Source organism: Homo sapiens, chromosome 7 (genome assembly GCF_000001405.40).
Source record: "Homo sapiens chromosome 7, GRCh38.p14 Primary Assembly".
NCBI lineage: Eukaryota > Metazoa > Chordata > Mammalia > Primates > Hominidae > Homo > Homo sapiens.
In genome coordinates, this window is record NC_000007.14 from 5,281,352 (window position 1) to 5,308,634 (window position 27,283).

The window sequence follows — 27,283 nt, forward strand, 5'->3', positions numbered from 1 at the left end:
GAGCCTGGTGGGGGCCTGGGCAGGCGCCTGTATCCATCCCACCTGGTGGCTCAGACCCGGAGGGTCTCTCCTGATTCCCATAGACAGGCCCCCACAGAGACCCAGGACAGGTGTGATTCCCACCTGGTTCCTGATTTCACCTCGAGGCTGGACCCTTCTCCCAGCCAGTAACACTCCCAGTCCCCCAGGGCTGGCTGATGTCCTATACCTGGGTCCCCTGGGCTCTGCTCAGTCTGTCCTAGAGCCAGGCTACAGGTGAGTAGAGGGAGAATAGGGCGGGGTCATGATTCCATTCACCTGGGAGAAAAACGGAGGCTCCCAGGCAAAGGGAGTCATGGGAAGCAACCTAGCCAGTTCTGATCCCAAGCTGGGAGGAGAAAGGGAGCGGGTCGAGGTAGGAACCAAGTGAGGGCAGGGCATGACTGAGGGTCGGCCACAGCCCCCACTCCTGGCTGGACTTGCTCTCCGCCCCTTCTCCAGCAGGTGAACTCCTACCCGTCCTTCGAAACTTTCAATCTGGTCACCCAGTGGCCTCGTGACTGAACCTACCCACCCACTGGCGGCGTTGCTGGCCTCCCAGGCGAGTGGATCTGTTGAGGGGGAGCAGCCTGGGCACCAAGGCTGAGGGGTGGGCAGCGGGGGTGGTGGGCTGGGTCAGCCGCAGGTCACCCGGCCCTCCCGGGGCCACCATGCCGCACCCTGGTGTGTTGGGGATCCTGATTTCAGCCTCAGCCTGGGCCTGGCGCCTGCACAGCCCAGCTGGATGGAAGGGTGGGGGGAGGGAGAAAGGAAGAAAGGAGATGGGAGCAGAGGGGAGGAGGGGGAAGATGGGGGAGAGGGGAGGGAAGAGGAAGGGGAAGGAGAGGGAGGGAGGAGGGGGAGAAAAGAGGAGGATGGAGGAGGAGTGGGGATGGTAGAAGGGAGGAGGGAGGGAAGACAGAGGGAGGACTGAGTAGGAGAATGGGGAAAGCGGAGGAGGGAGGGAGAGGGAGGAGGGGAGAGACAGGAAGGGAGGAAGAGTGAGGAGGAGAAAGGGAGGAGGGTGGAGGGGAGGGGAGAAGGGAGGAGAGCAGGAGGAGGGTAATGGAGGACTTTGGAGGAGGGGAGGGGTGGGAGGAGGGAAGGGGAGGGAAGAGAAAGGGGGAGGAGTGGGAGGGAGGAGGAGAGAAAGGGAAGGGGAAGAGAGGAGGAGTGGGGAGAATGGAGAGGAAGGGGAGAGGAGAGAGAAGAGGTGGGAGGTGGAGGAAGAGGGAGGGGAAGAGGAGGAATGGGGAGGAGGGAGAGAGGAGGTAGAAGGGGAGGGAGGAGGAGGGAGAGGGGGAAGAGAGGAGGAGGAATGGGGAGGAGGAAGAAGGGGAGGGAGAGGGAGGAGAAGAGAGGAATGGAGAGGGAGGGAAAGAGAGGAGGAATGGGGAGGAGGGGGAGGGAGGAGAGGAGGGTGAAGGGAGGAGGGAAGAGGGTGAGGAAGGGGGAGGGGAGGGGGAGGGAGGAGAGAGGAGCGAGAGGGAAGAGGGAGGAGGAGGGGGGAGGAGGAGGGAGGGGCGGGGCCGGGCGCGGGGGGCGGGCAGAGGCGGGGCGTGGTGGCCTGGGCTGTGCTCGTCGCCGCGCTCGTGGACCGGGGCCGGGCGGACTCGGGGACCGGCGGAGGACGCCGGGCGCGCCCGGCCCGAGGCTGGGGGAGCGGGGCGGCGTGGCGGGCGCGCCGAGGACCCCAGGCCGGGCCGGGCCGAGGTAAGCGGTGGCCGCGGGACGCGGGGAGACGCCGGCGGGGACCTGTCGGAGCCTTTGTCTGCGGCGCGCGCGGCTTCCCCCGCCCCCTCCCGCCCGCCCGGGCGCTGCCCCCTCTCCCCAGCCCGCCCCTGTCCCGGGAACCCGAGGCCACCCCGGCCGCGTCCTGAGCGGCCCAGCCCCCCGCGCCCGGCGACAAGCGCGGACCCGGACCCCTGGGCCCTCGCCATGGAGGGGGTCGGCGCCACCGCCTCCCTGAGCACCGCGCGGGGGTCCTCCCGCACGAAGTTCCTCCCCGGACCCCCCCGCGCCACCCCATCGCTCCCCTGCCCCCGCCGGCCCCTTCCTCGTTCTCGGAAAAAGCGGCCGGGAGAGGCGGGGCCTGGGCTCCGGGGTCACCTCGGGACGGCCCAGGGGGTCTGTCCTTTGCCTGGGGGCGCAGGTCCGCGAGCCAACTTTGCGGCTGATGAGGCCGGACAGGCGGCAGAAAGGCGCGGCGACCCGGGCCGGGGAGGGCGGTGGGCCCGGGGGGCCAGCCTGTGGCCCCTGCATGCATCGGTCCCCGGGGGGCTGCAGAAAGGGGGTGGCCGGAGGGGCTTGTAACCCACCCCCACAGGAGTTGGAGCAGCTTAGACCGCTGGGCTGCGGAAAGGGCAGCAGAGGCATCGTTAGCCCCGGTTAACGGGGACCAGGGGTGTACCAGGCATCAACTAACCAGGGCTGGTGACTGAGCCGGGAGTGCGAGCCCAGGCCCGCTTTCCAAGTGGAATTCGGTTCCCCTGGTCCTTCCTGGCTGGCCGGAGGAGCGCGGCCCCCGAGTGAGGCCAGACTGGCTTTGGGGTCCCGACGCCCAGCGCTTCCAGCTGCCCTGGGCCACTGTGCACTTCAGGCCCAGTGGAAATGGGAGGAGCCGGAGGGGGTCACTGGGCCAGGCTCCAGTCTGAGCTGCACGACCCCCCCCCCCACCCCCGACTTGGCCTCTCTGTGCCTCAGTCGCCCTCCCTGCAAAGTGGTGAGGGGCCTTGGCCAGAAGCAGTGGCTCACTCCTGTAATCTTGGTTCTGGGAGGCCGGGGCTGAGGGATCACCTGAGGCCAGGAGTTCAAGGCCAGCTTGGGCAACAGAGCAAGACCCCACCTCTACAAAAATAGAAATTAAAAAAATTAATAAATGGGGGAGAGCGGTGGGAGCCCTGCCTTGCCCATAGCAGTGTTAAGTGGCAGCTTGTGCAACTGTTGAATGCCTACTGTGTGCAGCTGAGCCTACCCCACCAGCCACCCACCCAGTCCCTGTTTGTGACGTACTCTCACCCTCTTCTTCCTCTACTGAGTTGTGAGGTGGGGAAACTGAGGCCTGAGGGGTGGCCTCAAGGCCAAAAAAATGACCTGTGTCTTCTCAAGGGCCCCCTGGGTCAGGCATCAAGGGGTCACGGCAGCGCAGAGTGGAGGAGCAGGGCCAAGCCCTGTAAACACTGGAGTTATTAAGCCAGTGTGCATGTCGTTAAATTTTAACTAAGGGGGGACAGGGCAGGAGGCCCTGGGTTGCCTTCCCTGGGGCGCAGTAGGCTTGGATGTGGGGGGCCGGGAAGGACAGAGTTGGAGGCCTGTGGCCCAGGAAAGGTGGGGGAGAGCGGCTGCAGCAGGGTCCCCACCCCCTCCACCATGGGGACAGTGGCTGGCCAAGCCGGGCAGTGTGGGTGGCAGCTGCCCACTTTGCCGACTAAGCCAGAGGGGACAGCAGCCGCCTCCTGGCTGGATGCCAAGCACGTCCGCCTTCCTGGGTGGCGTGGCCTCCGGGCAAGGCAGAAACCTCGGCTTTCTGGCCAGGAGTGTTCAGGGCACTGCACGTCCAGGGAAGCATCTTGGGGGCTCTTGCTGAACACAGACCAGGCCTTTCTGGGTTCAGATGTCCTCCTGGGCTGGGCTGGCATCCTGAGCAGGTGGCAGGAGGAGCATTTGATTGTTGTAGACTGTCACCCTGACACCATCCCCTTTCCTGGCTCTGCAGGCTGAAGAAGGGCCCCGGGGTCTCTAAGCCTTTGCTGACTCTCTGGCGCCTCCCAACGACTCTTGAGCTCAGGCTCCTGTGTCCACTTCACAGGGGAGACAGGTGTGCGGAGCCCGCCCAGAGCCACCCTCGTTCAAGCCCAGCCCAGCTCTGCTCTAAGCCCTGCTCGGCCGCCACCCCACCCCACCCCCAACCCCCCAGCTCCAGATGTGGCAGGACGGCCAGGGCTGACGAGGGGCAGTCAGGGGAGCCTTGAGCCTAGAAGGGGAGACACGCTGGGCTTCTCAGCCCCCAGAAGTCCGGGACCGCCTCTCCCCTGGTAGTGGGTACCAATTACCTGCGTTGGCCCCCAGCTGTCAGGGGCTGAATCTCCCCAGCCCCCAAGACCTGGAAATGGGAAGGCTCTGGCTTCAAAGCCCCAGTGAGGCCCCAGGCCCCCTTTTAGGCCCCAGTTAAAATTCTGTAGTGAGCTAGAAGAGGGGGACATGGGGTCACAGGGAGGTGCTTGGTAACTGATCATGAAAACCTGCCTAGAGGCTGGGAAGGGAGTAAACTGAGGCAGGGGAGCTGGAGGAAATGAGACCCAGGAGATGGGACAAGAGCAGGCAGAGGTGACATGGGTCAGCCCCAGAGAAAATCAGGATGGGCTGAGCGCAGTGGCTCATGCCTATAATCCCAGCACTTTGGGAGGCCAAGGCGAGAAGATCACTTGAGCCCAGGAGTTCAAGACCACTATGGGCAACACAGTGAGACCCCCATCTCTACAAAAAAGAAAAAAATTAGCCGGGCCTGGTGGCACACACCTGTTCCAGCTACTTAAGAGACTGAGGTGGGAGGATCACTTCAGCCTGAGAGGCAGAGGCTCCAGTGAGTTGTGATCGCGCCACTGCACTCCAGCCTTGGCAACAAAGCGAGACTCTGTCTCAGAAAAAAAAACAAAAAACAAAAAAATCAAGGTTCCTCTGGGCCTGTGGGACCCCATGGGGTGGGCTTCTTCCAGCCTTTACCACGGCTCTCCTTCATACTGGGGAAACTGAGGCACTACATTCAGCACTCAGTGCTGTGCTGTCCTCTCTGTTAGCCTCAAACTCCCTACGACGAGCACAGATCCTTTCTGCATTCAGATAAATGAATACACGTTATTAGAAAAAAATCATAGGCTGGATGTGGTGGCTCAGGCCTGTAATCCTAGCACTTTGGGAGGCCGAGGCGGGCAGATCACAAGGTCAAGAGGTCGAGACCATCCTGGCCAACATGGTGAAACGCCATCTCTACTAAAAATACAAAAATTAGCCGGGTGTGGCGGCGGGCACCTGTAGTCCCAGCTACTCGGGAGGCTGAGGCAGAAGAATCGCTGGAACCCAGGAGACGGAGGTTGCAGCGAGCCAAGATTGCTCCACTGCACTCCAGCCTGGGCGACAGAGCAAGACTCCATCTCAAAAAAAAAAAAGAAAAAAGAAAAAAATCATTTTAGGGGAAAAAGCTAGCCTGCCTCAGGCACACACAGGGCTGCCCACACAGTGCAAGCGTCTCCATCACAGATGACTTAGCTCCTTCCTTTCCTCCCGAAGGTCAGGGCTGGCAGATCCAAATTGAAGCAAGAAGCACTGAGGCAAGACCACAGGAAGAACTTCCCGCCATAAGGGTGGTTGGCCCCAGGACCAAGGGCCATCGTGGCTCAAAGTGCCACACAGACCTGGGTTGAGATCTGGGTTCTCCCACTTTCTGCCTGTGAGACCAAGGGGTTTCTCACTTTCCTCAGCTGAAAAATGAGTGATAAAGGCAGCTTCCTCCCAGAGGACACTGCAGCGCGGTGCAGGCACGCGTGAGGCTCACTCATGTCACCTGTTACTTCCAACTGCTCCCCAAGTCCTGGCATCGTACCGCCAAAGTATTCCTCCACTCCATCTATTTCTCACCGTGCCCACTGCCACCATGCAGGCCACCTTGGTTGCTCCCCGGGACAGCAGTCTCTGAGCCATTCTCCTCCCCTCTGACCCCTTCTCCCTAGATAGCAGTGAGGATGAGCACCTTGAGACACACCAGGTGAGGGCTGGGCGCAGTGGCTCAGTGGCTTACGCCTGTAACCCCCGCACTTTGGGAGGCCGAGGCAGGAGTTGGAGTTGGAGACCAGCCTGGGCAATGTAGTGAGACCCCCAACTCTACAAAAGAAATTTTTTAAAATTAGCCAGGCATGGTGTTTCGAACCTGTGGTCCCAGCTACTTGGGAGGCTGAATCAGGAGGATCCCTTGAGCCCAGGAGGTCGTGGCTGAAATGAGTGATGGTTGCACCACCATACTCCAACCTGGGTGACAGAGTGAGACCCTGTCTGAAAAAAAAAAAAAAAGAAAAAAAAGACATACCAGGTGACATTGCTTATCTGCTTAAATTAATGTCCTCTGGATGGATAGAAAGGACGGTCCCCCCAGGGGATACAGTCCCGGCCGCATGGCATCAATGTGGTGAAACTGAGGCTCAGAGAGGTTTAGGCCCTTGCCTAAGGTCACACAGCTGGGCTGAAAACCCGGGTCTTTGAACCTCACATCCAGTCCTGTTCAGGCACTTTCCTGGCTCCTTTGCAGTGAGGCATAGCTTGCTTTGGCCAACGAGTGTGACCAAAGTGACATGTGTCACTCCAGGTAGAAGCTTTATGGGTCAGTGCATGAGCCATGGATCCCTCAGCCTTCTTCCCTCACCTGCTCTCTCTGCTTTCTCCAAAGCAGAGGCTGCCATGGGCTCCGTGGGGAGCCAGCGCCTTGAGGAGCCCAGCGTGGCAGGCACACCAGACCCGGGCGTAGTGATGAGCTTCACCTTCGACAGTCACCAGCTGGAGGAGGCGGCGGAGGCGGCTCAGGGCCAGGGCCTTAGGGCCAGGGGCGTCCCAGCTTTCACGGATACTAGTAAGTAGGCGTGCGGGCAAGGTGCGGGTCTTGCCCCAAAGCAGGCTGGGCTGTGTGACCCCCAGTGAAGCCTTGCGGTATCGGGGAGCCATGGGTGGTCATGGAGGACTGGAGGCAGTGCCTGTCAGTGTGGATTAGATCTGCTGCATAACAAACACGCCCACCTTCTCAGTGTCTCCGCCCTGATGCTGCATGTCCCTGCTGGGGGCCCTGCCGACAGCCCCAGGCAGAGGAGGCTCTGTCTTAACATGGGCTTTTGTGCTCACTGGGTGGGTGAAGGGACCATGGCTCATGCGCTGACCCGTACAGCTTCTTTTTTTTTTTTTTTTTTTTTTTTTGAGACGGAGTCTCACTCTGTCACCCGGCTGGAGTGCACTGGTGCAATCTCGGCTCACTGCAAGCTCCGCCTCCTGGGTTCACGCCATTCTCCTGCCTCAGCCTCCCAAGTAGCTGGGACGGCAGGTGCCTGCCACCGTGCCCAGCTAATTTTGTGTATTTTTAGTAGAGACGGGGTTTCACCGTGGTCTCGATCTCCTGACCTCATGATCCGCCCGCCTCGGCCTCCCAAAGTGCTAGGATTACAGGCTTGAGCCACCGCGCCCGTCCGCTGACCCATAAAGCTTCTATCTGGAGTGACACATGTCACTTTGGTCACACTCGTTGGCCAAAGCAAGCTATGCCTCACTGCAAAGGAGCCAGGAAAGTGCCTGAATAGGACTGGATGTGAGGTTCAAAGACCTGGGTTTTCAGCCCAGCTGTGTGACGTTAGGCAAGGGCCTAAACCTCTCTGAGCCTTAGTTTCACCACATTGAAGAATTGGGCCAACTGACTTTGAGATCAGACTTGCAGAGTGGACAGCCCACAGGCTTGGAGTCTGACAGGCTCGGGTTCAAGCCTACCTCCCATCCTTTACCCACCAGGAGCCCCTGGTCAAGTCAGTGTTGTTCTGTGACCCTCGGTGTCTTCTTCTGGAAAAGGGAGATGATACTGTGTCAGTGTGGTTGCATCAGAATCCACAGAATCTTGCTTGGGCCTGTCCCTGGCACTCAGGAGGCACCCTGTAAGCTATAGTTCTTTTCTGGAGAGCTGCTGTTTATGCTAGTACTTTAGGCTCAGAAACCTGGGCTAAGGCTCGGCACGGTGGCTCATGCCTATAATCCCAGCACTTTGGGAGGCTGAGGCCGGAGGAACACTTGAGCCCAGGAGTTTGAGGCCGGCCTGAACAACCTGGCAAAATCTCGTCTGTACAAAAAATACAAAAATTAGCCGGGTGTGGTGGCACACGCCTGTAATCCCAGCTACTTCAGAGGCTGAGACAGGAGAATCACTTGAGCCCAGGAGGGGGTGGTCGTAGTGAGCCAAGGTCATGCCACTGCACTCCAGCCTGAGCAACGGCGAGACTCTGAAAAAAAAGAAAGAAAAAAGCAATTGGCTGACTAAAGTGGGAGCTAGTTAAGCCAGGCAGGCAGTCAGGAAGGTCATGGACAGTCTGGAACCCACGGGCAGGAGCTTCTTGGAGTCTCTGAGCTCCAGGAAGTCCCCAAGGTCTCACCTGATTAGGTCAGACCCACCCAGGGTAATTTCCCTTTTGATAAAGTTAATGGAGAAGGGACTTTAATCGCAAAACGCCTTCACAGCAGCACCAGGGCTAGGGTTGGAACTGGGGACTGTACTTCAGCTTGTCAAGGTGACCATAAACAGACCATCACGGTCCCCCCCTTGCCGGTGTGGCTCCCATAGACAGCTCCCTAAACCATGCCTCCTCTCCAGATAAAGGCAGTGACAAGGTCATACCGCCACCGAGCATGATACAAGAACCCGGTACAACCCCAGACATGCTGACCCCTTCCCCAGAAGGACAGGCAAAGGGTGTTCACTCTTCTCCTTCCATATCCTATAATTTTATTTTTTATTTTTTTGAAAACAGTCTCGTGCTCTTGCCCAGGCTGGAGTGCAGTGGCCCAACCTTGGCTCACTGCAACCTCCACCTCCTGGGGTCAAATGATTCTCCTGCCTCAGCCTCCTGAGTAGCTGGAAATATAGGCGTGCACCACCATGCCCAGCTAATTTTTTTTTTTTTTTTTTTGAGACGGAGTCTCACTCTGTCGCCCAGGTTGGAGTGCAGTGGCGCGATCTCGGCTCACTGCAAGCTCCGCTTCCTGGGTTCACGCCATTCTCCTGCCTCAGCCTCCCGAGTAGCTGGGACTACAGGCGCCCACTACCATGCCTGGCTAATTTTTTGGGTTTTTTTGTATTTTTAGTAGAGATGGGGTTTCACCGTGTTAGCCAGGATAGTCTCGATCTCCTGACCTCGTGATCCGCCCGTCTTGGCCTCCCAAAGTGCTGGGATTACAGTTGTGAGCCACGGCGCCTGGCCATTTTTTGTATTTTAGTAGAGATGGGGTTTCACCATGTTGGCCAGGCTGGTCTCGAACTCCTGAGTTCAGGTGATCTGCCCGCCTTGGCCTCCCAGAGTGCTGGGATTACAGACGTGAGCTGGTTTCCTGTCCATCAAGCTGGCAGCTGCAGTGGCTGTGAGGGCGTGGGTGTGGTGGCTGTAGCCACAGTATTTGGTGGCTTTTGATAATGGCCAGATGACAGAGGTATCTGGAACAGAGGGGAGCAGGGGTCACGGTGATGGACAGTGGCTATGGTGATGGCGGCCGGGGTGGTGGACATCGCCCTGTGCGGTGACTGTAGCCATGCGTGGAGCGTGCCCCGTCTCACCTGGTGTCTCTGGCTTTAGCATTGGACGAGCCAGTGCCCGATGACCGTTATCACGCCATCTACTTTGCGATGCTGCTGGCTGGCGTGGGCTTCCTGCTGCCATACAACAGCTTCATCACGGACGTGGACTACCTGCATCACAAGTACCCAGGTGGGTCCCTCCACGGTCACGCCCAGCCACTCAGCATCCTCCATCATGGCCTGGGGCCTCCCAGAAACCCCCGGCGGGGAGGGTCCTACACGGGGACCTGTTTTATTCAGATCTCGGCTCCACTGTGAGCTGCTGAGTGACCTCAGGGCAGCCACTCACCCTCTGTGGGCAGCGAGCCCCTTCTGGGAGGTCTCACCTGGCAGGAGTCAGTGCAGGGGGTGGGGCCTCCCTGAGCACCTGCTGTCTCTGGCCCTCTGCAGGGACCTCCATCGTGTTTGACATGAGCCTCACCTACATCTTGGTGGCACTGGCAGCTGTCCTCCTGAACAACGTCCTGGTGGAGAGACTGACCCTGCACACCAGGATCACCGCAGGTGCGCTGGGCCCCGCCACGGGACACCTGCCTGTCATGGCTTCCACCTGCCTGGCCGGTCACCCACTCACCCAGTTTCCCTGAGCCTCACTCCCCTCGTCTGTAAAATGGGCACACTTCCTAGGGCTGCCCTGAGGTCTGGTGTAAGACACCGTGGTGGGGCCTCTGTACCCCAAGTCATGTCCCTGGGCCTTGCCCAAGCTCTTCCCCACGTCCAGTGTGTTCTTCCTTTCCCATTCCTCTGCACGGCAACATCCAGCTTCAAGGCCCGGCTCAAATGGTGCCTCCTACAGGAAGCCCTCCAGGTGCCCCTGTTAGACTCGTAAAGCATCCCTGGCCCTCCTTAAAGGGGAAGGGCAGAGAAAGCCTCAGAGCGACTCTGCAGGAGGGGCGAGGAGGAGGGGGACCCCACCCAGTTGGCTCCACCACTCCCCTCACTAGCCTCTCCCCCAACAGGCTACCTCTTAGCCTTGGGCCCTCTCCTTTTTATCAGCATCTGCGACGTGTGGCTGCAGCTCTTCTCTCGGGACCAGGCCTACGCCATCAACCTGGCCGCTGTGGGCACCGTGGCCTTCGGCTGCACAGGTAGGAACCGGGGCCCAAGGGGGAGGCCTTGAGTGCCCACTTCCGACCCCATCCCACCCCAGCCCTGGTCTCCTGCTGGTGGCATGTGACATGATGGGAACCGGGCTGGCTGGGTGCCAGGTGTGTGTCCACCTGCATGCCAGCGTGCACACCGGCTCACACCCACAGGAGCCTGTGTAGTGTGTCTGCAGTGTGTGCGCAGCGTGTAGCCACAGAGACTCTGAGGCAGCCCCTGGTTTCCCTGGTATAAACAGGGCTTCAAAGACTGTTCTGCCTTTGTCACCATGTCACTGTTTATCTTGGGCAATGGCTTTGATCTGACTTTGTCACCCAGGCTAGAGTGCAGTGGCATGATCATAGCTCACTGCAGCCTCAACCTCCTGGACTCAAGCCATCCTCCCACCTCAGCCTCCTGAGTAGCTAGGACCTCAGGCACATGCCACCAAGCCTGGCTAATTTTTAAAAATTGTTTGTAGAGACGGGGATCTCTCTGTGTTGCCCAGGCTAGTCTTGAACTCTTAGCCCCAAGCAATCCTCCCACCTCGGTCTTCCAAAGTGCTGGTATTACAGGCATGAGCCATCGTGCCTGGCCTTTCAAACTTTTTTTGAAAACTAGTTTTTATTTTGCAAAAATTTCAAACCTACAGAAAGCTTGCAAGAATGATACAGTGAAGTCCCATACGAGCACTCTCTCCCCCTCTCCCTCCACCCCGTCTCTCTGTACTTAAATTTCTCCCTAAGTATATATAAATATAAAATACATATTTTCCCTTGCACCATTTGAGAGTTAGTTGTAGATGTCATCACCTTTCTTGCCTAATTACTAATACTTCAGAGTGTATTTTCTACCAGCCAAGACATTTTTTTCCTTTTTTTTTTTTTTTTTTTTTTTTTTTTGAGACAGTCTCACTCTGTCGCCCAGGCTGGAGTGCAGTGGCACCATCTCAACTCACTGCAACCTCCGCCTCCCGGGTTCAAGTGATTCTCCTGTCTCAGCCTCCCAAGTAACTGGGATTACAGGTGCCCGCCACCATGCCAGGCTAATTTTTGTATTTTTAGTAGAGACGGGGTTTCACCATGTTCCTCAGGCTGATTACGAACTCCTGACCTCAGGTGATCCGCCCACCTCAGCCTCCCAAAGTGCTGGTATTACAGGCGTGAGCCACCGCACCCCGCCCCGATAATGTTCTTTATAGCATTTTTTTTTTTCTGACCCAACATCCTCTCTAGATTCATACCTTTCCTTTAATCCGGGACGGTCCTTCACCCACCCCTGTGTTTCATGGTAGTGACATTTTGCAAGGGTCCAGGCCAGGCTTTGTAGACTTTCTTTTTTTTCTCTTTTTTTTTTTTTTTTTTTTGAGATGGAGTCTTTCTCTGTCCCCCAGGCTGGAGTGCAGAGTGCAGTGGCACGATCTCAGCTCACTGCAACCTCCGTCTCCCAGGTTCAAGGGATTCTCCTGCCTCAGCCTCCCGAGTAGCTGGGACTGCAGGCGCCCGCCACCACACCTGGCTAATTTGTGTATTTTTAGTAGAGATGGGGTTTCACCATATTGGCCAGGCTGCTCTCGAACTCCTGACCTTGTGATCTGCCTGCCTCAGCCTCCCAAAGTGCTAGGATTACAGGCGTGAGCCACTATGCCTAGCCAGCTTGGTAGACTTTCAAACTCTTTTTGACCATGACTTCCAGGAAGAAAGCAATACATTTTATATTACGGCCCTGTAAACACGTGTGTGTATTTATAAATGATGTCAAGCCTTCGTGAACTAATACTCCCAATACTACTGTTCTGTTTTGTTAAAAAACAAAAAAAATGCTGTGACTAGATTTTATTTTTTTAGAGGCAGGGTCTCACTCTGTCGCCCAGGCTGGAGTGCAGTGGTGGGATCATGGTTCACTGCAGCCTCAACCTCATGGGCTCGAGGGAGAGGCCAGGCCCCCCACATAGCTGGGATTACAGGCACAGGCCACTGCACCCAGCTAATTTTTAAAAAATTTTTGTCTCCATGCATGGTGGCTCATGCTTGTAATCCCAGCATTTTGGGAGGCTGAGGCGGACAGATCACGAGGTCAGGAGTTCGAGACCAGTCTGGCCAACATAGTGAAACCCCGTCTCTACTAAAAATACAAAAAATTAGCCGGGTGTGGTGGTGTGTGCCTGTAATCCCAGTTACTCGGGAGGCTGAGGCAGGAGAATCATGTGAACCCAGGAGGCAGAGGTTGCAGTGAGCCGAGATCGCACCACTGCACTCCAGCCCAGACGACAGTGCGAGGCTCTATCTGGAAAAAAAAAAAAATTGTAAAGACAAGATCTCACTTTGTAGTCCAGGATGGTCTTGAACTCCTAGACTCAAGCAATCCTCCCTTCTTAGCCTCTCAAAGCACTGGGATTACAGGTGTGAGCCACCATGCCCAGCCTTGACCAGAAGATTTTAGTTAGACAAAGACTGCCCCTGAGGCTACTTCCAGGGCTGGATTTGCTAGACTCCAAGGTAGGGGCCTGTGCACTTCTATTTTCCCTAGATCCTGATGGATTTCTGGCTGTATTAGTTAGGATGAGAGGGGTTATTGCTGTATAACAAATAGCCCAGAAATCTCAGTGGTTCCATAGAACAAGCCTGACTTCTCACTTTTGCTGCCTGTCTTCTCTGGAGGGTGAAGGGTGTTATGCTCCATACGGTCTCTCAGGGCCTCAGGCAGACAGTCCTCTCCCCACCCCGTAACACATGGCCTCTCCTGTCCCTGCCCATGGGAAGAAGAAAGGTTGAAAGTCCATGCAGACTTTTCACTGCCTTGCCCAGTAGTGACGTGTCATTTCTGCAGACGTTTCATCTGTCAGAGCTTGTCAATGACCCTGGCTGACCCCAAGGGTACACTGGCTGGTGTTCCTACTGCTGCGTGTCAAATCTCTCTGCCATTAGTGGTGTTAACGGCTGTTTACGCACCCTCGTCCACCAACACAGTTCTCTAGTGCATTTCTCCCAAGTTGACAGGTGATAATGGTGCCTCTGGGTTGTTCCTCTCTCTCTCTCTTAAGTGCAGCAATCCAGCTTCTACGGGTACACGGGGATGCTGCCCAAGCGGTACACGCAGGGGGTGATGACCGGGGAGAGTGAGTATCTGCAGACCCCCCGGGGAGGGGGTGCTGGGCTGCCCTGGGCTCTGGAAGCTTCTTCCCAGGGACTCCCCATGATGCTCCCCGGTCTGGGAGGGAGGCTCACAATCCCTGGGCAGACTGAGCTAGGGACAGTGATCACCATCTTTCCTGGCCTGGCTGGGGGTAGAAAAGGGGTGCACTCCCACATGGGAGGGACATGTGGGCCCACACATGTGTGTGCTGTGTTTCTGGGGTGTGTGATCCTTTGTGATCGGGGAAGCTTATGTCTCTGAGCATGTGGCTGGGTGTGTGTTTGGTAAGTCTGCGTGTGCGCGTGTGTTAGGAGGTGGGCCCCGTCCATGGCCGTGATGTCATGCACATCACACCATGCCTACAGCACCGCGCTCTCCTTGCAGCCACGGACACACAAGCCACCCCCTGGTCAGCACCCCATGTGGGTGTCTCACGGGCTTCTCAAACTCACGTCTCCTCCACCCACCCTGCCAATCACACCCACCCCTTCTCAGCAAATGGCACCCCTTTGCTCACGCCTGAACCTTACATGACATCCGGCCCTTCTCCAAGTCCTAGGTCTGTCCCCTGGCCTCCAGCCCCTGCAGAGGGGCAGCACTGGCCCCGGGTACCGGCACTGTGTGCGTGGAAGCCCCTCCCTCTCAGGGTTCCCAATCTTCCTTCTGTGCCTGGACTGGCCCGGGGTCAGTGCTGCCCAGGCAGGAAGCGGAAGCCCAGGTCAAGACCCACTTGGCCCTGGCTCGTTTCTCCCCTTGGGGGCGTTCTGCAACCCTCTGCCTGGTGCTGAGGTCCACCAGATGCCCCAGAGCTTCCAGACTCCCACGTGGGAGGTCCTGGTTCCTGTCGCTGGCAGGTAGATTTTGTGGTGTGGCCGAGCGAGAGAGGGTGCAGAATTGTGCCGGCACACTGATGTCGCGTGGTTTATGGAGTCAAGGGCCGCGCAGAAAAGACATGCTCAGAGCCCTGTCCACCCTCACGGGGTGGCCCACCATGGCCCACCATGGCCCTGACCCACCCTGCCTCACACTGGGCAGTGGCGCATGGTCACGCGAAGAAAAAACCCACAGCCTGCCCACCCCAAGGCCCTCCCTCCCGGCCTCGTGACCCTAATGGCGGCTTCCAGCGCCTCAAACATGAGCACTGAGCTCACAGCAGCCCCTGGCCAGGAACACCCGTCCCCAGGCTGCACTCCCGGCCCTGTCCTGCAGACCTCCGCGTCAAAGGTCCCCATCGGGACAGGGGCCCTCTAACTGCCCCCCACCTCTGCGCGCCCTCTGTTCCATTCCTTTCTGCCCCCTGCCTGAATCACGCACCATCTTGTTGCATCCATCCTCTTCCCACCCTGCGCCCGTGTGTCATCGTGGCCCTACTGCGTCCTCAGAGCAGGAGGGTGCAGCGACACGGCAGGCACTGGGTAAATGCCCCATGGTGGGGGTGTGTGAGCGGCGTCGGGGTGGGGCTGCTGTGAGGGGCAGCTCCTCTTGTGGCTGGGGCGGAGCTGGGGGCACCCGGAGTTGGGGCGGGAGAGACGGGACTCAGGACTTAGAGGGAGCGGCAGGGGGTGGGGCTGGGAAGGGAGGTGGGGTGGGGAGTGAGGGAGCGGGTGGGACGGGGCTGGGTGGGGTCAAGCTGAGTCGGGGGGTGGGGTGGGATGCAGCTGGGCGTGGCTGAGTGGGGGCGGAGCTGAGTGGGGGCGGGAGGCAGCTGGGCCACTCATTGTAGGAATTGCTGGAAGGGGCTGGTGGAGCAGGTCTGGTTGCGGGAGTGGGGTGGTGGCAGTGGGCGGGGCCGGCGGTGATGGGCGGGGCCTGTGGGTGGGGGCAGGGCCTGTGGTGGAGGGCGGGGCCTGTGGGTGGGGGCAGGGCCTGTGGTGGAGGGCGGGGCCGGTGGGGAGGGGTCTGTGTGTGGACGGGGCTGGGGCGGGACGGGGCGGTGCAGGGAGCTGGGCGGATCAGGCCCCGGCCCACTGTGCACGCCCCCCAGGCACGGCGGGCGTGATGATCTCTCTGAGCCGCATCCTCACGAAGCTGCTGCTGCCCGACGAGCGCGCCAGCACGCTCATCTTCTTCCTGGTGTCGGTGGCGCTGGAGCTGCTGTGTTTCCTGCTGCACCTGTTAGTGCGGCGCAGCCGCTTCGTGCTCTTCTATACCACACGGCCGCGTGACAGCCACCGGGGCAGGCCAGGCCTGGGCAGGGGCTATGGCTACCGCGTGCACCACGACGTTGTCGCCGGGGACGTCCACTTCGTAAGTGCGCACCGCCCACCTCTGTTCCCTTCTCTGTCCCCTTCTCTGTCCCCACCGCTTCGTCGGGAAGTACCTGGGGCCCAGCCTCTCACCTGCATCCCAGACTGTGGTCTCCTCCTGTGGTGGAGACTCCTTCCTGCCAGCCTCCTTTATTCTGTGTACTCTTACTGATGTGGCTTCTTACTGGCACCCCACGTCTCGTGGCCTAAGGCCCCACTCCACCCGCATCTGTGGTCCGGGGATCTGCCCAGCTGCTGTGCCCCACGGCGTGGGGCGTGCATGGCCCCTGTCCTTAGTGACACTCCACATGATGTACACTAAAGTTTCCATCCCTGGGACAGCCCACGTTCATTCTGAGGGTCTCAGCCCTCCTGGCTGCGCCAACCCACGTTGGAGAGTCCTCCTGCAGGCTCAGCCTGGCAGCAAACTCTCTAGGAAGCTCACAGCCTTCCTCCCTAGAGTCGGGACGCCAGGAGGGAAGTCAGGGCTCAGGGATAACCCTGGTTTCCCTGAGGGAATGTGGCGGGGCCCCCAGAATTTCCCACAGAAGTCGCCAGCCAGGAAAGGGAGTGGTCTCCCAGGTGGGGATAGGCGGAGAGGGAGGGCCAGGGGCTTGGTTCTGTGGCCCCTGGCTCTGCTGGGCTTCCCTGTCATAGCACAGAGGCACTGCCCCTACGGGGTCCCCAGCACAGACAGCCCCTGCCAGGAGGTGCCCTATCCCACCATCCCTGGGCAGGCAGACGTCCTTGGGGGGCTGGGGTGCCTTCTGGTGGCAGCAGCACTGCACAGCCCCCCAGGCTCAGGGCCGGCAGCTGTACAGGCTTGGGGACACCTGCAGGGTGAGGTCAGGAGTGCCAGGCCATGCAGAGGCGGGGCGAGGGAGCCATTGGTCCTCGTTCCTGAGGGTCGGGAACCAGAATGGTCATGCAGGCCTTGATCCAGTGAGTCACCTGGGCCCTTGGCTGGGGACGCTGAAGTGAGCCAGAAACACCATCCCCAGGGGAGCCCCCAGACCCAGAGAGGGGCCCAGGATGGAAGGGGACAAGCCAGGGCAGGGGTGCGTCCCTCTCATGGTCAGGGAAGTTCCCTGAGGGGCTTTTGGGCTAAGACCTGACCCACAGGAAGCGTGTTGGGGCAGAGGGAAAAGCGTGTGCGGTGGGTCAGAGGCTGGGAGGAGCTCCGTGTGTTTGGAGGAGGGGAAAAGCAGAGAGGTCATAGGGGACCAGATGCTCTGGTTGGTTTGGTCAGAGGCTGGTAGAGGGTTCACAGGAATGATGAGATGGAATTTGCTGCATCAGAAGTGTGAGAGAGAGCCAGGCGCAGTGGCTCACACCTGCAATCCCAGCTATACAGGAGGCCAAGGTGGGAGGATCGCTTGAGCCCAAGAGTTTGAGATCAGCCTGGGCAACATAGCAAGACCCTGTGTCTACAAAAAAGAAAACGGCAAAAAAGATTGGCCTGGGTGATGGCGCATGGCTGTAGTCCCTGTTACTTGGGAGGCTGAGGTGGGAGGATTGCCTGAGCCCAGGAAGTTGAGGCTGCAGTGAGCTGTGACTGCACCACTGCACTCCAGCCTCGGCAACAGAGCAAGACCCTCTCTCTAAAACAAGAAAGAAATGTGAAGTGAGAGACCTTGATAAAGTGGAGGAGGGGTGTCTGCACACAGTAGGTACCACCTGAATGTCAGCGCCAGCCCCAGTGCGGCTCTTCTGATTGGGCCTGGATTCCTGGCCCGTGTCTCCTGTCCTCCCTTCCACTCCAACCCCATCCCACTCCATCCTCCCTCCAGGAGCACCCAGCCCCGGCCCTGGCCCCCAACGAGTCCCCAAAGGACAGCCCAGCCCACGAGGTGACCGGCAGCGGCGGGGCCTACATGCGCTTTGATGTGCCGCGGCCAAGGGTCCAGCGCAGCTGGCCCACCTTCAGAGGTGAGTGCGGGGAGTCCTCTGCTGCCCTGGCTCTGGCACCCAGGCAGGGGGTGGGGGAGGCAGGCAGGGGTCCCCGTGGGCGCTGCCTCTGACCCCCGCCCGCCACCCTCCAGCCCTGTTACTGCACCGCTACGTGGTGGCGCGGGTGATCTGGGCCGACATGCTCTCCATCGCCGTGACCTACTTCATCACGCTGTGCCTGTTCCCCGGCCTCGAGTCTGAGATCCGCCACTGCATCCTGGGCGAGTGGCTGCCCATCCTCATCATGGCTGTGTTCAACCTGTCAGACTTCGTGGGCAAGGTGGGCTGCCTGCCCTGCCCGGTGTCGGGGGACGCCATGGGGTGGGGGTGACAAGGGAGGCCCTGGCCTATCCGGGAAGGGTTCTGAGTGAAGGATGCATGTGGCTCCCAGGTGGAAAGGGCAAGAGCTGTGCAGTGGCGCCATCCTGGACAGTGTCCTCTGGAGGGCGGCCCTGGCCTGATCCCACTGGGGCGCTCCGGAGTGTCAGCTGCATCTGGGAGGACAGGCGTGGCCCTCACCCTCTCGCCTCACGATCACAGGTCCCCTGGGGATGAGCACAGGAGGATGCCCCAGAGGGGACTCAGAGAAGGCAGGGACACTCAGAAATGGCTCAAAGAAATGGCCAGGTGCAGTGGCTTATGCCTGTAATCCTAGCACTTCAGGAGGCCAGAGATGGGTAGATCACTTGAGGCCAGGAGTTCTAGACCAACCTTGCCAACATGGTGAAACCCCGTGTCTACTGAAAATACAAAAATTAAATGGACGTGGTGGAGCGTGCCTATAATCGCAGCTACTTGGGAAGCTGAGGCAGGAGAATCGCTTGAACCCAGGAGGTGGAGGGTGTAGTGAGCCGAGATCGTGCCACTGCACTCCAGCCTGGGTGACAGCACGAGACTCTGTCTCAAAAAAACAAGCAAACGAACAAAAAAATCACTCAGCCAGCCGTGGTGGTGCGTGCCTATGGTCCCAGCTAGTCGGGAGGCTGAGGTGGGAGGATGGCTTGAGCCCGGGAGTTTGAGGCTGCAGTGAGCCACCATCGTGTCACTGCACTCCAGCTTGGGGGATAGACCGATACACTGACTCTAAGGGAAAAAAATGTAAGTGGAATTTGGGGGGCTTTTAGAGGGGTGATCCGGAGAAGGGCAGGGGTGCAGGCTGAGCTGGACAGGCCCAGGAGTGTTTAGGGATGGGGATGTGGCTAGAGGCTGTCGGGGGTGTGAGGCGAGTGGGGCTGTGGCCGGGACAGGGCGCCCACTTGCCTGGCTCTCTGCAGATCCTGGCAGCCCTGCCCGTGGACTGGCGGGGCACCCACCTGCTGGCCTGCTCCTGCCTGCGTGTGGTCTTCATCCCCCTCTTCATCCTGTGCGTCTACCCCAGCGGCATGCCCGCCCTCCGTCACCCCGCCTGGCCCTGCATCTTCTCACTGCTCATGGGCATCAGCAACGGCTACTTCGGCAGCGTGCCCATGATCCTGGCGGCAGGCAAAGTGAGCCCCAAGCAGCGGGAGCTGGCAGGTGAGGCCCGCGGGACGTGGGGGTGGGGGCGTCCTCCCAGCAGCGCAATGCCCCCCTCGCGAGGAAACCCAGGCTAGACCGCAGGAAGGTGCATTTGGGTTCCGGGGGTTCAGAACAGTCAGTGTCTGGGAGGCCGTAGGTGTGGGGACATTCTCAGCCACTTCATTCACTCATTTATTCGTTCGTTCATCCCACAACTACTTGGTGAGCCCCTCCTGTGGACCAAGTGCTTTTCAAGGCACCGGGGACACAGTGGCGACAAAACGGCGCTCCCCGTGCTGTGGGACTGACTGTCCAGATGTGGAGGCAGCCCAGGCCGGGCACAGTGGCTCGTACCTGCAATCCCAGCACTTTGGAAGGGCAAAGCGGGTGGATCACTTGAGCCCAGGAGTTAAAGACCAGCCTGGGCAACACAGTGAGAGCCTCTCCTCTCTACAAAAATGTTTAAAAAATTAGCTGGGTATGGTAGCGTGCGCCTATGGTCCCAGCTACTCGGGAGGCTGAGATGGGAGGATCACTTGAGCCCAGGAGTTGGAGGTTGCAGCTGTGATCACGCCACTGCACTCCAGCCTGGGTGACAGAGCAAGATCCTGTCTGGGGAAAAAAAAAAAAAAAATCCCAGATCGGCGTGACTGGTTGAATGGCAGTAAGTCCTATGGGGAAAAATAAAGCAGAGAAACAGGAGTGATGGGATGGGAGAGTCAGGCTCGGGAGCCAGCAGTGTAAATGGAGCAATCTGGGAAGACCTCACTGAGGAGGTGACTTGTGAGCAAAGACCTGGAGGAGGTAGCAAGGGAGATAGCCATGTGAGGATGCAAGGGAAAGGCATCCAGGAAGAGGGAGCAGCATGTGCAAAGATCCTGCGGCACTGAGGCCAGGGGATGGAGCAGAAGAGGAACGGGGTTTGATGGTTGATAAAGCATCCCTCCAGCTGCCGTGGGCATGGAGGTGAGTGAGGAGCTACTTCACCAGTCCAGGCCCTTGAGAATGGGGCTCAGACCTGGAGGAGGTCAACGTGGCACTGGGAGGTGCCGGATTCCAGGTCTTGTTTGGACGGCAGCCCACAGGACCGGCTGATGGGTTGAGAGGTAGGGTGTGGGAGAGGGAAGGGGGCTCCAGGTTTGGGGTCCACTGCTCAAGGCAAGAAGGCTGGCACTGGCACAGACTGAGATGGGAAGAGGCCTCGTTGGGAGGGGTTGGGGTTGGGTTTGGGACTTGGTACGTTCCAGGTGCCCATGGGACATCCCAAATTGTTCCTGATAGGGAGGAAGCTGCAAGTCGGAGAGTGGAGATTTTTTTTTCTTTTTAGATGGAGTCTTGCTCTGTTCCCCAGGCTGGAGTGCAGTGGCACGATCTCAGCTCACTGCAACCTCTGCCTCGCAGGTTCAAGCAATTCTCATGCCTCAGCCTCCTGAGTAGCTGGGATTATGGATGCCCCCCACCATACCTGGCGAATGTTTGTATTTTTAGTAGAGGTGAGATTTCACCATCTTGGCCAGGCTGGTCTCGAACTCCTAACCTCAGGTGATCTGCCTGCCTCAGCCTCCCAAAGTGCTGGGATTATAGGTGTCAGCCACCATACCTGGCTGAGACTGGAGATTAAAATGGGGAGGGTTAGGGCCAGGCTCACTGGCTCAGGACGGTGTTTTGGGAGGCCAAGGTAGGACTATCACTTGGGACCAGCCTGGGCAGTATAGCAAGACGGAGTCTCTACAAAAAAATTTTTTTAGGTTAGCCAGGCACGGTGGTGCATGCCTGTGGTCCCAGGTACTCGGGAGGCTGAAGTGGGAGGATCGCGTGAGCCCAGGAGGTCAAGGCTGCAGGAAGCTATGGTTGTACCACTGCACTCCGGTCTGGGCAACAGAGCAAGACCTTGTCTTTAAATTTTAAAAATGGGGGCTTGGGGGACTCAGAGAAGGCAGGCAAGGCCTGGAGTGCATAGCAGATGGCCTCGGGAAGAAGGAATGAGGAAGGACAGGATCCGGAGAGGGTGCTCCCAGGAGGAGCGATGGGGCAGCGGGTCCTGGAGGGGCGGCACGGTTCAGGCGGGTGTCACCGCACCTCACACCCGAGCAGCCGTGGCCACCAGGTGGCCGCCCTGGCCCTGCTCCCCTCAGGCTGGTGTTGTCCACAGGGAACACCATGACCGTGTCCTACATGTCAGGGCTGACGCTGGGGTCCGCCGTGGCCTACTGCACCTACAGCCTCACCCGCGACGCTCACGGCAGCTGCCTGCACGCCTCCACCGCCAATGGTTCCATCCTCGCAGGCCTCTGAGCCAGCCCCGCCCACTGCCAGGGACGCCGAGGGCCTGACCAGGGGCCCCGAGGCCTGAGGGCCCCTCCCCTGTCCCCACCTCAGTGCCTGCGGGGCCCTGAGCCTCCCCCTGTGCCAGCAGCCCCACTCCCTCAGGGTCCAGCCATGCCCCACCCTGGACTGAAGTTCTGCAAAGTCCTCCGAGGACCGGAACACGTTTCTGCGACCCGGGGCTCTGGCCAGCACTGTGTTCTGCGTTTGGTCTCATACCTGCGTCTACCTTCCATCTGTGTCCAGCGGCCCCGGCTCCAGCCCAGCCAGCACTCTGCAGGGTCACACGCACCGTGTCCCCACCCAGGACAGCAGACACCCGCCAGAGTGTGCGCGCCCAGTGACTGCACCCCGGCCCTCATCACCCACCGGCACTGATCGGGGCACCGCCTGGCCCAGCCTCCACCAGGGACCCCTCCTCATGAACTCTGGAGCCCTGAGAGGAGAGGGGCAGCCCCCCACCTTGTCACCCTCAGGGCTTCCCCTTCTGTCCTCATTCTTAGAGACTGCTTCTCCCAAACATAACGCGTTAGCCATGAAGGAGTCGGAGCCCTGGGTCCGAATGGACCCGCCTGCGGTCTGCATCAGCCTCTGGGAAACCACAGCAGTGATGCCAGCTGGGCACGTCAGGACCTCCCCACACACCCACACGATGCCACAGGTCAGGGGGCTGTGCCTGACTAGGGAGCCCTCCCATTGCCTTCCTGGCCCGGGATAGAAGAGGGGAGGTAAGTCTGGGGGCTACGAAGCCGGGCCCCCACACCCTGGCTGAAGTCAGCTTGACCTAGGTCTTGACCCTCATCCAGCAAGGGACTCGACAGACCCAAGGGTCCCTGGAACGTAGGGAGGGGCTGGGGGTCAGTCCAGCCCGGGCCTCCCAGAACACCAGGCCCGTGTGGGTGGCACCCTGAGGTCAGGGGATCCTAAGGGTGTCCTTCCAGAGACGGTGTTTCCAGGGGGAGGACCGCCCCCGCTTCCAGATCCCCGGCCCCGGCTGTGACTGCCCTGTTTCACCCCTGCTGTGTCCCATCCCCCGTCTGTCCACTAACTGTACCGCACCGGCCATTAAAAGATGAAGGCAGACCGCTGCACCGCCGCCTGCAAGCAGAGTTTGTGCGTGGACGGGGGCTGGGACTGCCATCTCGGGATACCGGTGGAACTCGGGCTGCCCCGCATAAGCCGGTCCTCAGTCTTCCCATCTGTGAGGTGGGCCGGGTGGATCAGGGAGCAGGAGGGTGTCCTCACACTGGGTAGGCTTGGTTTGTGGGCAGCGCTGGGTAGTGGGGTGAGAGCTGGGAGCACTTAGGGTTTGTCGCTCACCTTGACCGCCCGCCCCCCCCACCCCTTCGTGAGGATCAGGGAGGATGGCCACATGCAGCCCATTTGAAGGGGAAACAAAGTGGGCGGGGCTTGGCCCCTGCCCCTCAGGGACTGCACTGCATCCTAGGAGTCAGAGCCTCCTGGCTTCGAGCCTCATCCCTTTTGCTGATTTGTGCAATTTGGACAAAATCCTGCACTGTTCTGTGCCTCATTTCTTTCTTTTTTTATTTTTTTTTTGAGACTGAGTCTTGCTCTTGTCACCCAGGCTGGAGTGCAGTGGCACGATCTTGGCTCACTGCAATCTCTGCCTTCCAGGTTCAAGCGATTCTCCTGCCTCAGCCTCTCAAGTAGCTGGGATTACAGGTACGCACCACCACACCTGGCTAATTTGTCTTGTGGAGACCGGGTTTCACCATGTTGGCCATGCTGGTCTCGAACTCCTGATCTCAAGTGATCCATCTGTCTCATCCTCCCAAAGTGTTGGGATTACAGGTGTGAGCCACTGCACCCGTCCTGTGCCTCATTTTTGTTTTTTCTTTCTTTACAAGACAGGCTCTCGCTCTGTCACTGAGGCTGGAGTGCAGTGGTGCCATCATAGCTCACTGCAGCCTCCACCTCCTGGGCTCCAGTGATCCTCCCACCTCAGCCTCCCAAATAGCTGTGAATACAGGCGCGTGCCACCACGTCTGGCCAGATTCTTTTATTTTGTGTAGAGATGGGGTCTTGCTGTTGCCCAGACTGGTCTCAAAGTCTGGGCCTCAAGTGTTCCCCCTGCCTTGGCCTCCCAAAGTGCCAGGATTACAGGTATGAGTCACTGCGCCTGGCCTGTTCTGTCCTTAGCTTCCCCAAGGAATGGGGCTGGTCCAGGTTTTGATGTGGGTCCCGTAAAGGAGGGCACGAGGGCCACCTATGCTCTGGCAGGCATCCTCCCTGGGGCCCAGGTGGGCGGCCACTTGGGCCAAGACTGCGCCAGGTGACACCAGAGTGTTTCCCAGAGCCCATGCCGGGCCCTTCCCTTGCCCGAGGCCGGCTGGCTGCCCTCCATGGGTTACCCTCTTTGCAAAGCCCCGAATGTCCTCTGCAGGCCACCCACACTAACCAGGTCAGTCACTGGGCAGCCAGACCCCCACCTATAGCTTCCCTAGGCCCCAGTGCAGAGATGCCGTCCACCCCCATCTAGGTGAGGGCTTGGGGCCACTCTTAGCATTAGTATCATTTTCTTCTAGTATCATTTTGTGGTAGGCATGGCTGGAAATGTGCAGCTTTGCTTTTTTTTTTTTTTTTTTTGGAGGAGTTTCGCTTTTGTTGCCCAGGCTGGAGTGCAATGGCTCGATTTCAGCTCACTGCAACCTCTGCCTGCCGGGTTCAAGCGATTCTCCTGCCTCAGCCTCCCGAGTAGCTGGGATTACAGGCATGTGCCACCATGCCCGGCTAATTTTGTGCTTTTAGTAGAGACGAGGTTTCTCCATGTTGGTCAGGCTGGTCTTGAACTCCCGACCTCAGGTGATCCACCTGCCTCAGCCTCCCAAAGTGCTGGGATTACAGGCATGAGCCACCATGCCTGGCACTGGTTTTTTGAGATGGAATCTCGTTATGTCACCCCAGCTGGAGGGCAGTGGCACGATCTCAGCTCACTGTAACCTTTGCCGTGGGTTCAAGCGATTCTCCTGCCTCAGCCTCCCAAGTAGCTGGGATTACAGGCACGCTCCACCACACCCGGCTAATTTTTTTGTATTTTTAGTAGAGATGGGGTTTCACCATATTGGCCAGGCTGGTCTTGAACTCCTGACCTCAAGTGATCCGCCTCCCTTGGCCTCCCAAAGTGCTGGGATTACAGGCGTGAGCCACCGTGCCCATCCAACTTAACTTTTAATTTTTTCTCATGTAAATTTGTTCAATTTCTTTTTTTTTTTTTTTTTTTTTTTTTGAGACAATCTCTGTCACCCCCAGGCCAGAGTGCAGTGGTGCGATCTCAACTCACTGCAACCTCCACCCGCCGGGTCCCTGTGATTTTCCCACCTCAGCCTCCCGAGTAGCTGGGATTACAGGTGTGGGCCACCACACCCGGCTAATTTTTGTATTTTTAGTAGAGACGGGGTTTCACCACATTGCTCAGGCTGGTCTGAAACTCCTGGCCTGAAGTGATCCTCCCGCCTCGGCCTCCTAAAGTGCTGGGATTACAGGCACGCTCTACCACACCTGGCTAATTTTTTTTTGTATTTTTAGTAGAGATGGGGTTTCACCATATTGGCCAGGCTGGTCTCGAACTCCTGACTTCAAGTGATCCGCCTGCCTTGGCCTCCCAAAGTGCTGGCATTACAGGCGTGAGCCACTGTGCCCAGCCGATGAGCTCATTTAGATGGCTGCATGGGGTCACCGCCCCTGCACGCGTGGCACCCAACTTCTTCCAGTCGAATCCTGCTTCTTGGTGCCCTGATATGGCAGAATGCCCCCAGACACCACCCCTACTCCAGCCCCTGAAATAAACCACTCCAGACAATTTTATTTTTCCAATTAAATCTTTTCTTTTTTTTTATGAAAAAAGATCACACAGAATTTGCCAACAAACAAAATTCCAAAAGAAACATAAAAAAAAAAACCAATAATTCCCCCAAAAAACAAACCCAAAGTCTGGCTTTTCCTTCCCTCAAGATTGTCTGGTTGAGGCCTTGGTTTCCCTTGAAGGCTTGGGGCCTGGTTAAGTGCTTTCTGGGGCCCAAGCAGGGACCCTGGGCTTGGGCCGGCTCCTGCCTCTCCCTCTTCTCTCCCTAACAAACACTTCTCTATCCTGGGGGGTGAGTACAGTACACTTGGTGGGGTGGGCGGGGGGTGTGCTGGGGACTGGGAGGCCGGTGAAGCCGGTGCTAGACACTATAATCTAACAGGAAATAAAAAATAATATTCTGCACGTCAGAATGTTTTTTTTTATAATTTCATAGCTATTTTTCACAGTTTTAAAAAGTTTATATATATATTTATATATATTTATCTTTATATATATAATTAAAAAGTTGACTCCATTTAAAGGCTTATGATACAGGGGCGGGGCGAGTCTCTTGGTACAATAAAACTGTACAGGTTAAGAAGTGCCACCTCCCTCCTGGGTGGGGAGGGGCCAGGCGTGGCCGGGCGACAGTTTCAGCACCATTGGGGTTTTCTGTAGTGTGAGGGTTTGGACCAGGGTGGGCCTGTGCCGGGCCCTCTCCACCTGGTGCCTTTGACAGACACTCCGGGCTGCAACCCCACCCGGCTCTGTTCCCCAAGTCTAGGCCATCCTGAGAGGGTGGGGGCAGGGCCCCTGGCACAGTCAGGTAGGCCAGCTGGCATCGGGCTGCCCTGTCCCATGCACGGTGGGAGGCCTTGGGGTGGGCTCCATGCTAAGGGTGCTTGGGAAGCCCAGAGTGAGCGTCAGTTTGGTTCCTTAGAAGCGCCCCTCCCCACCGAATCCCCAGTCTGCATGGACCTGGGGGCACCCGGGCCCCCACGCAGCAGCAGCCTGGAGGGCCGGCCTGGCCAAGTGCTTGCAACGTGCTGGGCAGGAAGGGCCGGTCCGGCCATACCCTGATAGCTAAGAGGGGCCCCTGTCCTGGGGGCACTGAGGGGTTGGAAGGTGGGGCTGGAGGCATGTGCACATGCGTGCACACACGTGCATGCACACACACTCACCCGGGCATCCACGTGCACACCTGGCCCCATGCACACGCCTGCAGGAGCGCTCGCATGCACACAACGCACGTGGTCTCCGCGCCATGGCAGTGATGGAGATGGGTCCCTGGCCGCCCTCGGGGCACAGGTGGCCCGCAGGGCCCGGCGGGCTCAGCAGAGCACGGGCACGCCGTCCGTGGAGAAGATCATGCCCGTGGTGGGCTCGTAGGTGCCCGCGAGGTAGTACAGGCCCTCGCTGTCCTGGTACTTCTTGGTCTTCAGCATCTGCTCATACTGCTCCAGGCCCACCACCAGGCACTTGTGCGACACCGTCTGCACGTCATTTTCGTCCACATGCGAGGACTGGTATAGCGCGCGCTGCGGGCACGCGGGGATATCAGGATGGCAGGTGGGGGGCACAGAGGCCGAGGGAGCCCCAGGGAGCCACAGGGACAGAGACAGAAGCAGAGGGAGCCCCAGGGACTGAGACAGAGACCAAGTCAGAGACAGAGGCTGAGTAAGAGACAGACCAACAAAAGAGAGACAGAGACCGAGAGATGGAGAGCAAATGAGAGACAAGGATAGACAGACCAAGAGATCCAAAGACGCAGAGAGACAGAGACCGAGATCGAGAGAGACCCAGAGAGACACAGAGACTGAAAGATAGAGGTTGGGAGAGACCCAGAGAGAGTCAGAGGGC

General features: G+C 58.6%; 2 protein-coding genes across 18 annotated transcripts in view, besides 6 other annotated features; one reads left to right on the forward strand and one right to left on the reverse strand.

Annotated features, from left to right (window-relative positions):
- Nucleotides 1,517-1,666: a silencer, noted in NCBI's record as "silent region_17912". NCBI's record gives its function as "represses an Ori minimal core promoter by ATAC-STARR-seq in GM12878 lymphoblastoid cells {active_cell/tissue: GM12878}" and the evidence as "EXISTENCE:reporter gene assay evidence [ECO:0000049][PMID:35858748]".
- On the forward strand, nucleotides 1,592-25,561 carry SLC29A4 (solute carrier family 29 member 4). 3 transcript variants are annotated; one of them, NM_001040661.3, is made up of 11 exons: nucleotides 1,592-1,731; nucleotides 6,455-6,634; nucleotides 9,381-9,512; nucleotides 9,773-9,886; nucleotides 10,342-10,470; nucleotides 13,509-13,583; nucleotides 15,585-15,847; nucleotides 17,637-17,775; nucleotides 17,889-18,076; nucleotides 19,071-19,311; nucleotides 21,446-25,561. In NM_001040661.3, the coding sequence occupies exons 2-11, from the start codon at nucleotides 6,466-6,468 to the stop codon at nucleotides 21,586-21,588; spliced, it is 1,593 nt and encodes a 530-aa protein (NP_001035751.1). In that variant the 5' UTR covers nucleotides 1,592-1,731; nucleotides 6,455-6,465; the 3' UTR covers nucleotides 21,589-25,561. The 3 variants fall into 3 exon arrangements, with proteins under 3 accessions (NP_001035751.1, NP_694979.2, NP_001287776.1); NM_153247.4 differs by having other exon boundaries at nucleotides 6,458-6,634; NM_001300847.3 differs by having other exon boundaries at nucleotides 6,458-6,634; nucleotides 10,379-10,470; nucleotides 13,514-13,583.
- Nucleotides 2,466-3,031: an enhancer, noted in NCBI's record as "H3K27ac-H3K4me1 hESC enhancer chr7:5323448-5324013 (GRCh37/hg19 assembly coordinates)". NCBI's record gives its function as "activates a minimal SCP1, AML or CMV promoter by ChIP-STARR-seq in naive H9 embryonic stem cells {active_cell/tissue: H9 hESC(naive)}" and the evidence as "EXISTENCE:reporter gene assay evidence [ECO:0000049][PMID:30033119]".
- Nucleotides 3,032-3,598: an enhancer, noted in NCBI's record as "H3K4me1 hESC enhancer chr7:5324014-5324580 (GRCh37/hg19 assembly coordinates)". NCBI's record gives its function as "activates a minimal SCP1, AML or CMV promoter by ChIP-STARR-seq in primed H9 embryonic stem cells {active_cell/tissue: H9 hESC(primed)}" and the evidence as "EXISTENCE:reporter gene assay evidence [ECO:0000049][PMID:30033119]".
- Nucleotides 3,587-3,881: a silencer, noted in NCBI's record as "tiled region #9837; HepG2 Repressive DNase matched - State 1:Tss, and K562 Repressive DNase unmatched - State 12:CtcfO". NCBI's record gives its function as "represses a minimal TATA promoter and a strong SV40 promoter by Sharpr-MPRA in HepG2 and K562 cells {active_cell/tissue: HepG2 | K562}" and the evidence as "EXISTENCE:reporter gene assay evidence [ECO:0000049][PMID:27701403]".
- Nucleotides 10,487-10,781: a silencer, noted in NCBI's record as "tiled region #3727; HepG2 Repressive DNase matched - State 14:Gen5', and K562 Repressive non-DNase unmatched - State 23:Low". NCBI's record gives its function as "represses a minimal TATA promoter and a strong SV40 promoter by Sharpr-MPRA in HepG2 and K562 cells {active_cell/tissue: HepG2 | K562}" and the evidence as "EXISTENCE:reporter gene assay evidence [ECO:0000049][PMID:27701403]".
- Nucleotides 15,429-15,538: a silencer, noted in NCBI's record as "silent region_17913". NCBI's record gives its function as "represses an Ori minimal core promoter by ATAC-STARR-seq in GM12878 lymphoblastoid cells {active_cell/tissue: GM12878}" and the evidence as "EXISTENCE:reporter gene assay evidence [ECO:0000049][PMID:35858748]".
- Nucleotides 25,460-27,283, reverse strand: part of TNRC18 (trinucleotide repeat containing 18) — a 117,024-nt gene continuing 115,200 nt past the window's right edge. For all 15 annotated transcript variants that reach the window (XM_017012737.3, XM_047420983.1, NM_001080495.3 and 12 more), the window contains one exon: nucleotides 25,460-26,961. In XM_017012737.3, coding sequence (XP_016868226.1) covers nucleotides 26,755-26,961 — 207 coding nt within the window. In that variant the 3' untranslated portion in view covers nucleotides 25,460-26,754. The remainder of the gene's footprint in view (nucleotides 26,962-27,283) is intronic.